Raw genomic sequence first — 11,901 nt, forward strand, 5'->3', positions numbered from 1 at the left:
AGAAAGAAAGAAAGAAAGAGGGAGAGAGAGAGAAAGAGAAGAGGAAAGAAAGAATGAAAGAAAGAAAGAGAGAGAGAGAGGAAGAGAAGGAAAAAAAGAGAAGGGCTGGGTGCAGGGGCTAACGCCTGTAATCCCAACACTTTGGGAGGCCGAGGTGGGCAGATCACCTGAGGTTGGGAGATCGAGATCTACCTGACCAACACAGAGAAACCCCGTCTCTACAAAAAATACAAAAAAATTAGCCAGGCGTGGTGGTGGGTGCCTGTAATCCCAACTACTCAGGAGGCTGAGCCAGGAGAATCGCTTGAACCCAGGAGGTGGAGGTTGTGGTGAGCGGAGATCTGCCATTGCACTCTAGCCTGGGCAACAAGAGGGAAACTCCGTCTCAAAAAAGAAAAGAAAAGAAAAGAGCACCTGCTAAGTGACAGACAGTCTTCTAGGTACTTTATTGGGGTGGGGGAAGCATCTCTTACTTTTCTCATGACACTATGACTTCCCATTTTACAAGTGAGAAAACTGAGGCATAGAGAAGAAAAGAGATTTCCCAGAGGAAACAGAGAGAAAAGTGGCAGAGCTGGGATTCGAACCCAGGCCACCTAGCATTAGCAGTTTTGTTGTAATCCATTCATTACACAAACATCACTTTTTTTTTTTTTTTTTTTTTTGAGACAGAGTTTCACTCTTGTTGCCCAGGGTGGAGTACAATGGCACAATCTCGGCTCACCGCAACCTCCGCCTCCCAGGTGCAAGCAATTCTCCTGCCTCAGCCTTCCCGAGTAGCTGGGATTACAGGCATGCGCCACCAAGCCTGGCTAATTTTTTGTATTTTTAGTAGAGACGGGGTTTCTCCATGTTAGTCAGGCTGGTCTTGAACTCCCGATCTCAGGTGATCCACCCGCCTTGGCATCCCAAAGTGCTGGGATTACAGGTGGGAGCCACCTCGCCCAGCCCACAAACATCACTCTTACACAACCATGAGAGTTCAGATGGAGGTTTCTAGTTTTTATTATTATTATTACTATTTTTGAGATGGAGTCTCACTCTGTCACTCAGGCTGGAGTGCAGTGGCAATATCTCGGCTCACTGCAGCCTCCGCCTCCTGGGTTCAAGCGATTCTCCCGCCTCAGCCTCCTGAGTAGCTGGAATTACAGGCGTGCGCCACCACGCCAGGCTAATTTTTGTATTTTTAGTAGAGACAGGGTTTCACCATGTTAGCCAGGGTGGTCTCAAACTCCTGACCTCAAGTGATCTGCCTGCCTTGGCCTCCCAAATTGCTGGGATTACAGGCGTGAGCCACCACGTCCAGCCTTTTTTTTTTTTTTTTCAGATGGAGATTTTAAAGATAACTCAAACCAAATTAAATTCCAGATGGCCCCTTCAACCCTTGCCCCCAGCGAAATAAACTATACAAATATTAGGAGAAAACACAGGAGTTAAAAATAAAAATAATCTGGGCCAGGCGCGGTGGCTCATGCCTGTAATCCCAGCACTTTGGGAGGCTGAGGCGGGCAAATCAAGAGGTCAGGAGTTCGAGACCAGCCTGGCCAACATGGTGAAACCCCGTCTCTACTAAAAATACAAAAATTAGCCAGGTGTGGTGGTGCATGCCTGTAATCCCAGCTACTCAAGAGGCTGAGGCGGGAGAATCACTTGAACCCGGGAGGTGGAGCTGGCAGTGAGCCGAGACCACACCATTGCACTCCAGCCTGTGTGACAGAGTGATACTCCGTCTCAAAAAAATATAAAAATAAAATTAATCTTAACTGTGTTAAAGCATATTAAACCCAGAAACCTTTAATTAAAAGATTAATAACTGACTACAAATATAAAATTCCTACACACATATGCACATTAAAAAAATACTAGAAGATCAAAAGGCAACATCAAGGAAGAAAGTTTTCCAAAACACGACAGACAAAAGACTGATTTTCTTAATATGTAAAGAGCATCTGGAAATCAATAAGGATTAACAAGCAAATTGAAAAAGGGGTGAGAGACTGGGCACAGTGGCTCACTCCTGTAATCTCAGCACTTTGGGAGGCCAAGGTGGGTGGATCACCTGGGGTCAGGAGATCGAGACCAGCCTGGCCAACATGGTGAAACCCTGTCTCTACTAAAAATACAAAAATTAGCCAGGTGTGGTGGTGGGTGCCTATAATTCCAGCTACTTGGGAGGCTGAGGCAGGAGAATGGCTTCAACCCAGGAGGTTGAAGTACAATGCCCAGGGTGGAGTACAATGGCAACTGTGGAGTACACAGTTGCAGTGAGCCAAGATTGCACCACTGCACTCCAGCCTGGGTGACAGAGTGAGAGACTGTCTTAAGAAAAACAAAACAGGCCGGGCACGGTGGCTCACGCCTGTAATCCCAGCACTTTGGGAGGCTGAGGCAGGCGGATCCCCTGAGGTAGGGAGTTCGAGACCAGCCTGGCCAACATGGAGAAACCCTGTCTCTACTAAAAATTCAAAATTAGCTGGGTGTGGTGGTGCATGCCTGTAATGCCAGCTACTTGGGAGGCTGAGGCAGGAGAATCATTTGAACCCAGGAGGCAGTGGTTGCGGTGAGCCAACATCGCACCATTGCACTCCAGCCTGGGCAACAAGAGGGAAACTCCATCTCAAAAAAAAAAAGAAAAAAGAAAAACAAAACAAACAAATAAAAAATACTAGAAGATGAAGAGGCAACATCAAGGGGGAAAATCTTCCAAAACATGATAGACAAGAGACTGATATCCTTAATATGTAAAAAGCATCTAGAAATCAATATGGATTAACAAGCCAGTCCAAAAAAGGGTGAAAGACATGAATGGATTTTTGTTGTTGTTGTTTTGTTTTTGTTTTTGAGCAAACAGGGTCTTGCTGTTTCCCACACTGGAATGCAGTGACACAATCTTGGCTCACTGAAACTGTGTACCACCCCTCCCGGCTAATTTTCAGTATTTTTAGTAGAGACAGGGTTTCGCCATGTTGCCCAGGCTGGTCTCGAACTCCTGGGATTCAAGCAATCCTCCCACCTCAGCCTCCCAAAGTGCTGGGATTACAAGCATAAGCCACCACACATGAACGGTTTTCTGAAAAGGAAATACAAACGTCTTCTGGGCATAGGCAAGGGAGTTCATTCTCGCTCATGGTAACCTAAATATAAAAAAAAACTACCATGAAATATCTTTTTCTTCTTTTCATCTGTCTGGCTGGTAAAGATGAAAAAGTCTGAGCATTTGCTGTGTTTTCAGGGTTTTGGGAAAAGAGCAGCCTCATGCTGCTGGGGTTCAGAGTGTGAAATGGTGTAAGCTCTCTGACAATAGCTATTTGAAAAAGGTATAAGCCAGCAGTGTCCTTTCTGGGAAGGTATCCGTGTGCACAAAGAGAGATGATAACATAATACATGTGCCAAGAAATTTACATGTAACACAGCAAAGTAGGAGGCTGGCATGATCCCTGACCTCCTTGAACAAAGGAGGGAAACTGAGGCCCGGAGAGGAGTAGTGGCAGAATGAGAACCCAGGCTGGGCTGGTCACTCTCCGGGGAAGGTGGGCGGGCTGGCTTAACCTGAAGAACTAGGTCACCATGGCCCCAGCCACTTCCCTATTCAGGCTGAATTCCAGGCCTCGCCCATCATAATTGCTGGTGTCCAAGAAGGTCAAAGGGAGGCCTGGGGACACTCGGCTTTAACACGGGGAGGCCACGCTGAGCCCTGGGAGTGCTAGGTGCCACTTCCAGTTAATTCTGACTTTCTCATTAAGCTGTTAGGAAAAGCTCGGTGGCTGTGGGCGACCGGCCCCTGTGCCTGGGTCTGTGGATTAGAGGGATCATGGTTTTTGCCTCGAGACACTGTATTATCTGTTGCGGGCAATTATGGAAGACCCAGGCAGACAGTGATGAGCTCAGAGAATCCCTGAGCTCTGGAGTCTGGAGGCTCAGAATCGTGGGATCACTGAACATGTAGACACTTAGGATCTTAGAACAGCTGGTGTTCAGTCCTCCTGAACAATGTGGAATCTCAGAGCTCTCTAGTGGGTGGGTGGGGGCTCTGAGCGGTAATCACCATACATCCCCTCTGGCTGTCTTAGGGGAGAAAAAGCTGCAGTAGTAAGTTTTAATAAAGTTCAGCAGGAAGCAAGAGGAATAGGCTTTTTAAAATGGGCCAGAGTCCGGGCATGGTGGCTCTTGCCTGTAATCCCAGCACTTTGGGAGGCCGAGGCAGGAGGATCGCTTGAGGCCAGGATTTTAAGACTAGCCTAAGCCACATAGCAAGGCCCTGACTCTACAATTTTTTTTTTTTTTTTTGAGACGGAGTCTCACTCTTTCACGTAGGCTGGAGTGTCTTTTCACCTAGGCACGAACTCAGCTCACTGCAACCTCCACCTCCCAGGTTCAAGCGATTCTCCTGCCTCCTGAGTAGCTGAGGTTAGAGGCATGCGCCACCACGCCAGGCTAATTTTTATATTTTTAGTAGACACGGGGTTTCACCATGTTAGCCAGGCTGGTCTCGAACTCCTGATCTTAAGTGATCCGCCTGCCTCAGTCTCCCAAAGTGCTGGGATTACAGGTATGAGCCACCATGCCCGGCCAGAATTTTAAAATTAGCTGGGCGTGGTGGTGTGCGCCCCCGTAGTCCCAGCTACTCAGGAGACTGAGGCAAGTGGATCACCTGAGACCAGGAGTTGGAGGCTGCAGTGAGCTATGATTGCACCACTGCACTCCAGCCTGGGCAACAGAGCAAGACCCTCTCTCGAAAAAAAAAAAAAAAAAGAAAGAAAGAAATCTCTTCTACATTACAAGAGGCAAAGTATCTATAATTCCAGAATGTGGCAATGCTAAGGGCAGTGGATATGTTACAGATGGGGGCAAGTGGGCCTGGCACCCACCCTCCTTCCCTATTTGCCTACAGGATTGGTGGAATATGCAGCCCCCCCCAACCCACACTTCTCCCTGCTGCCCAGCCTCTGATGAACAGGCATTCTGGCCTATATTATTATTATTATTTATTTTTATTTATTTATTTATTTTTTTGAGACAGAGTCTTGCTCTGTTGCCCAGGCTGGAGTACAGTGGCACGATCTTGGCTCACTGCAAGCTCCGCCTCCCGGGTTCACGCCATTGTCCTGCCTCAGCCTCCCGAGTAGCTGGGACTACAGGCGCCCGCCACCATGCCCAGCTAATTTTTTGTATTTTTAGTAGAGACGGGGTTTCACCATGTTGGCCAGGATGGTCTTGATCTCCTGATCTCGTGATCCACCCGCCTCGGCCTCCCAAAGTGCTGGAATTACAGGCATTGAGCCACTGTGCCCGGCTGGCCTATGCTATTATTTTATTTTATCTTATTTTACTTTATGAAACAGGATCTTACTCTGTTGCCCAGGCTGGAGTACAGTGGCATGACCATGGCTCACTGCAGCCTCAACCTCCCAGGCTCAAGCGATCCTCCCACCTCAGCCTCCTGAGTAGCTGGGACTACAGGCACACACCTGTAATCCCGGTTGTGGTGGCGGGTGCCTGTAATCCCAGCTACTCTGGAGGCTAAGGCAGGAGAATCACTTGAACCTAGGAGGCGCAGGTTGCAGTGAGCCAAGATTGTACCACTGCACTCCAGCCTGGGCGACAAGAGCAAAACTCCATCTAAAGGAAGGAAGGAAGAGAGGGGGGAGGAAGGGAGGAGAGGAAGGAAAGAAGGAGGGAGGGAGAAAAGAAAGGAAGGAGGGAGGGAGGGAGGGAAGGAAGGAAGGAAGGAAGGAAGGAAGGAAGGAAGGAAGGAAGGAAGGGATTGATTGATTCACACGCAGGATGTTTGTTGGGCAAATGAAGGTTTATGGTGGTCCCTATTGGCAAGTTGTGTTTTTCTAGCCTCATTCTATTAGAAACAAAGGCTATCTGCCACCAACATGTTTAAACAAAGTAGCATTCCTCATATATAAAGAGTTGTTAGAAATCAATAAAAATAAAGCAACATGTGCAAAGAACGTGCATACACTTTGGACACACAAAAGACATAGGTGGGAAATTGTAAAAGACTTGAAAAAAGAATTTCACTGCTGGGCACGGTGGCTCATGCCTGTAATCCCAGCACTTTGGGAGGCTGAGACGGGTGGATCACCTGAGGTCGGGAGTTCGAGACCAACCTGACCAATATGGAGAAACCCTGTCTCTACTAAAAATACAAAATTAGCCGGGCATGGTGGCGCATGCCTGTAATCCCACCTACTCGGGAGGCTGAGGCAAGAGAAGTGCTTGAACCTGGGAGGTGGAGGTTGCGGTGAGCCGAGATTGTGCCATTGCACTCCAGCCTGGGCAACAAGAGTGAACTCCGTCTCAAAAAAAAAAAAAGAATTTCACCACTCTAATATTTGACAAAAAGATCCAATAATAGTTTTTGTGAAGGTACAAGGCAGTGAGCACTTGCATACATTGCTGGGATAAGTTAGTACCAAGTCCCATCTTTCTGGAGGGCGAAATGGCAAAGTATATTGAAAGTCTTTGATGGAAAATAACCATAATGACTCACATTTGTTGAGTGACAACCTCATTTATTATCTTTTCCCCATCAGAACAGAAACTCCCCAACGGCTATTTTGTCTGTTCTATTCACCGCTGAGTTCCCAATGTCTGAAACAACTCATGCCCCTGATTTTTATACCCAGCATGATCCCGTCTACTCAGTTTTCTGAAGTTTGAGAACCGCTGAGCTGAGCTAAAAGGAAAGTTTTTATGCAGACAGACGTCCAAGCATCCAATCTATTTAGGCCTTTTTGACAACCCTCAAGTTCTTAGCAGTGAGTGAAGAATTCTCAGGGGCTCCCCACTGACCCATAGGTTAATAGATGTGCTTGTAGTTATTAGAATTAAATGAGGTGATTTTTCCTTTTTTTTTTTTTTCTTTGAGGGAAGGTCTGGCTCTGTGTCACCCAGGCTGGAGCAGAGCGGCGTGATCTCAGCTCACTGCAACCTCCGCCTCCTGGGCTCAAGTGATCCTCCCACCTCAGCCTCCCGAGTAGCTGGGACTATAGGTGCACACCATCCCGCGTGGCTAATTATTGTATTATTATTATTATTGTTGTTATTGTTATTATTATTATAATTATTATTTTGTAGAGACAGGGTTTTGCCATGTTGCCCAGACTGGTCTCGAACTCCTGGGCTCAAAACTAATCTGCCCACCTTGGCCTCTCAAAGTGCTGGGATTCCAGGCGTGAGCCATCACACCCAGCCTGAGATAATTTATCACATTGAGTCTTTAGCATGCTCCAGGAGTGTTCAAGGTTTTATAAACCTCAACTCACCTCATAGCAATGCTATGAGATAGATGCTAATATCAAGCCCATTTTTTTTAACACAAACAATCCCATAGTATTTATTGCCATCTTGTAGTAACACAACGGTAATCAAAACAATATGAATAAATCTTCACATTGGACAAAGGACATCTAAAAACAAACTGTATCCTTCTCAACAATTTCTCACTTCATTGATCATTTCTAGTTGGAGACACTTTGCAGCAGAGTAATATTACCTCCTTTTAGCATGATCCGACCCAGTTGTTTTCTTGACTTTGTTTTAGAATGAATCTCTTCTGCATCATCTAATACAAGGTTCATATACTCATCAAAACCAATGATACAGCCTTCTATCCGCATATTCACTTGCTCATAGAGCCACACCTGAATCCGCGATCTATTTTGTAAGTATCTGAAGATGAGGCTGATGGGCTGCACCATAACCTTCTGCACTTTCTGGCCCTGGCCACGGTACGCCATGGTGGAATTTCACCCATTTTTTTTTTTTTTTTATAATTTATTTTGTTTTGTTTTGTTTTTTGAGACAGAGTCTCACTCTGTTGCCCAGGCTGGAGTGCAGTGGCGCGATCTCGGCTCGCTGCAGGCTCCGCCTCCCGGGTTCAGGCCATTCTCCTGCCTCAGCCCCCCAAGTAGCTGGGACTACAGGCGCCCGCCACCACGCCCAGCTATTTTTTTTTAGCAGAGACGGGGTTTCACCATGTTAGCCAGGATGGTCTCAATCTCCTGACCTCGTGATCTGCCTGCCTTGGCCTCCCAGAGTGCTGAGATTACAGGCGTGAGCTACCGCGCCTGGCCCTAATTTTTTGTACTTTTAGCAGAGACAGGGTTTCACCGTGTTAGCCAGGATGGTCTCGATCTCCTGACCTCGTGATCCGCCCGCCTCGGCCTCCCAGAGTGCTGGGATTATAGGCGTGAGCCACCGCGCCCGGCCCTAATTTTTTGTATTTTTAGTAGAGACGGGGTTTCACCGTATTAGCCAGGATGATCTCGATCTCCTGACCTTGTGATCCGCCCGCCTCGGCCTCCCAAAGTGCTGGGATTACAGGCATGAGCCACCGCGCCCGGCCGAATATCAGGCCCATTTTACAGATGAGGAAACTGAATGCATAGCATGAAGGCAGTACCCGAGCCAAGGCCTGGCACATAGTAGGTGCTTAGTTTGAGCAGGATCTAAATCTCGTTTGGTCAGACCCACAGACACACAGCTCCATGAACAGTCGCTCCTGTCTCTCCAGGGGACCCCAGGAAGCACTTCATAAATATTTCAGTTCTTGAATTCTTTGGTGACTCTATACAGAGCCGCCAGGAAAGGTGAGCAGGGGCGGGAGAGGCAGCTTTCCAAGGGGGGCGGAGACATGAGGCACACATCAAGTCACTCGCCAGCCCGGATACACCAAAATGTACACAGCATGAGGAGAAGTCAGTCACACAGAGACACAGACACACCCAAGGCAAATACAGCCATGATATGTAGCAAGAGAAAAATGAGACACGTAGTCACATGCGCAGAGACACATGCCCCCCAGAGCAAACACAGACACACACGGACACACGCCCCATGACAAACACAGATGCACACAGAGAGACACACGGCCTTAAGCCTCACACACGGAGATTCACCAGATCCACACCCCAAGACAGAAGCAGGCACGTCCACTCCTGAGACCAATACAAACTCACTCTAAGAGAAGCACAGACACAACCAGGGCCTTCGCCTACCGGGGGCCGGGTTGGGAGGCTCTGGAGACCCTCGACCCTTGAGGAAGCCCCCATTCCAGCCTCCACCTGCGCCTCCAGGGCCTCCCACAAAGGTGGTGTTGGGCCCGTGGGGGAAACGCTGGGCGGGCAGAGAGATGGGGGCTTCCGCGGCAGGAGGGGCCCAACCGGGTCGGCTGCGTTGCAGAGCGTGGCTCTTGGGCGCCACCTAGTGGGCACATGGAGTAGAGGGCCCGGCTGCCCCAAGTGCAGATCCACATCTGTGCAGGTCCTGGGTTCATCTGTTTCTGCTTTTGTCTATTTGCGTCCCTGTGTGTGTGCGTCTGTTTCACTCTGTGTCTCAGTCTCTGTCTCTCTTCTCCCTGAATCTCTCTTTTTCTGTGTCTCGGTGTCTTTATCTCTCCATCCCTCTTTTTTCTCCCCTTCCCTCCCCCACGGCTTCCCCCACCTCCAGAGCCTGAGGCTTCGTCAATAAGCAAGCCAGGCATCTCCAGTGACCCAGCACACCCCACTTATAGCCGCATCTCTTGGGTCCCGTCCCTCAACGGCGTCTTGGTCCCCATGAGTGTCCACCTGCTATGACTCAGCCAGGGGCTGAGTGAGTGGGGGTGTGATACCCAACGGACTCTCACTCTGTCGCCCAGGCTGGAGTGCAGTGGTGCAACATCAGCTCACTGCAACCTCCACCTCCCAGGTTCAAGAGATTCTCCTGCCTCAGCCTCCCGAGTAGCTGGGATTACAGGCATGCGCCACCATGCCCTGCTAATTTTTGTATTTCTAGTAGAGACAAGGTTTTGCCATGTTGACCAGGCTGATCTCGAACTCCTGACCTCAGGTGATCCACCCACCTCAGCCTCCCAAAGTGCTGGGATTACAGACATGAGCCACCGTGCCTGGCTAATTATATCTATTTTTTAATACAGAGTCTCGCTCTGTTGCCCAGACTGGAGTGCAGTGGTGTGATCTCAGCTCACTGTAACTTCCACCTCCCAGATTCAAGTGATTCTCCTGCCTCAGCCTCCCGAGTAGCTGGGATTACAGGCGTGCACCACCACACCTGGCTAATTTTTGTGTTTTTAGTAGAGATGGAGTTTCACCATGTTGACCAGGCTGGTCTCAAGTGATCTGCCTGCCTCGGCCTCCCAAAGTGCTTGGAGTACAGGTGTGAGGCACCATGCCCAGCTGTGCCCACCAGTTCTGCCAGCCTGCTTGCTCCTATGTTCTGGTCTTTGGAGCAGGGATCCCAAAACTGGAGGCGGCTTGTGGCCCCCCCTGCTGTGTCTTTGTCCAAACAGAGCCAGGGCCCTGAGTCCAGTGTGGCTCGCCCCTCCTTCCCCAGGGCTGGCTGGTTCTAGCTTCCTGGAGGTGAAAGTGGTCATGGCATGGGGAGACCGGGGACACGGGGACAGTGAGGATTTGGATCTCAAGCAAGGAAAGGCCTGAAGAGAGACATTTGAGTGTTACCCTCAAACCCTTCGAGGAGGGCTGGCTCTCTTCTTCTCAAGAAGAAGAAACCCTACAGGCTGGTGGTCCCATCCCTGATCAGCCACTGCGGCCCCAGGTCCCCATGTTCCTGCCTGCTCTGTTGCTCAAAGGTGCTAGGCCAGGTGCATGGCTCATGCCTGGAGTCCCAGCTGCTCAGGAGGCTGGGGCATGAGGATTACTTCCAGGAGCTCAAGGTTGCAGTGAGCTATGATCGCGCCGTTGTACTCCAGCCTGGGCAACAGAGCAAGATCCCATCGCTCCGAAAAACAAAAAAAAGGGTGGGAGGCGTGTCCTTTCCTTCCTGGGGGCTTCTGCACACCCTGTTTCTTCTTCTGGAAAGCCCTTCTGGGGCTCCTTCACTCCTCATGGCTTAGGTCTGTCCAGTCCCCTCCTCCAAGAAGCCAGTCTCATTCCACCCCCAGACAACAGGAACCTGCAGGCTTGTCTCAGTCATGGCTGCATCTCTGCCATGGAGCCCTGCTCGCAGTAAGTACCCAAGAAGCATTTGCTAAGCTAAATAAGCAAGAAAACAAAGGACTCAGAGCCCAGCTCTTGAGCCTGGATTTCATCTTGACTTGCTTGGCAGGGGGCCTTGGCCAAGTGGGTTTCCTTCCTGCTCTGTGCACTGTTTCCCCAGCAATGGGGACCTTTCCCGGACCACCTGTGAGATCCACCCTGCTGGGTTTCATTTCAGCTGAGTCTGTAAATATTTGGTCTGCTGTGGCCGGCAGCATACACGCAGGGGAAGCTTCAGTGCCTTTTACGAGCTCCCCGCGAGGCCTGATATGCGTTTTCTGTGGCTGGGTACACGGGGCACCCCAGTAGTTTCACAGCTCGTTGGCACGAGGTGGCTATGATTCCAAGACTGGAAGAAGCCGAGAGACACCATCAGTGGCTTCCAGCACTTAACTCCACAGCGTGCAGCATTTGAGAGGCCAAAGAGGGGCCTCTTGTTTTAAAAACTGTAATGCAACATTATAGATTACAGCTGCAGTAGAAATCGAGCCCAGCGATTCCCCTTCCCTAAGTCTATGGGCCACACTTAATTTCTTAAAGGGCAGAGGGGAGGGATTTCTGTTGGGCAAGGAGTGGGAAGCCCTGGTTTAGACCTGTCTCTTGCTAAAAAAATTCAAAGAACCACAACCACTTGCTATGCACCTACTGTATGCCAGATATTGCATAAAGCACTTTTTTATTTTTTTGAGATGGAGTCTCATTCTGTCTCCCAGGCTGGAGTGCAGTGGTGCGATCTTGACTCACTGCAACCTCCGCCTCCCAGGTTCAAGCGATTCTCCTGCCTCAGCCTCCTTAGTAGCTGGGATTACAGGCATGCGCCACCATGCCCAGCTAATTTTCATATTTTTAGTAGAGATGGGGTTTCACCATGTTGGCCAGGCTGGTCTCGAAC

The 11,901-nt window shown here is 49.4% G+C and overlaps 1 pseudogene; it reads right to left on the bottom strand.

The window, feature by feature from the left end:
- SNRPEP4 (SNRPE pseudogene 4) lies at nt 7,299-7,764 on the bottom strand (annotated as a pseudogene).

This window comes from Homo sapiens, chromosome 19 (assembly GCF_000001405.40).
Source record: "Homo sapiens chromosome 19, GRCh38.p14 Primary Assembly".
NCBI lineage: Eukaryota > Metazoa > Chordata > Mammalia > Primates > Hominidae > Homo > Homo sapiens.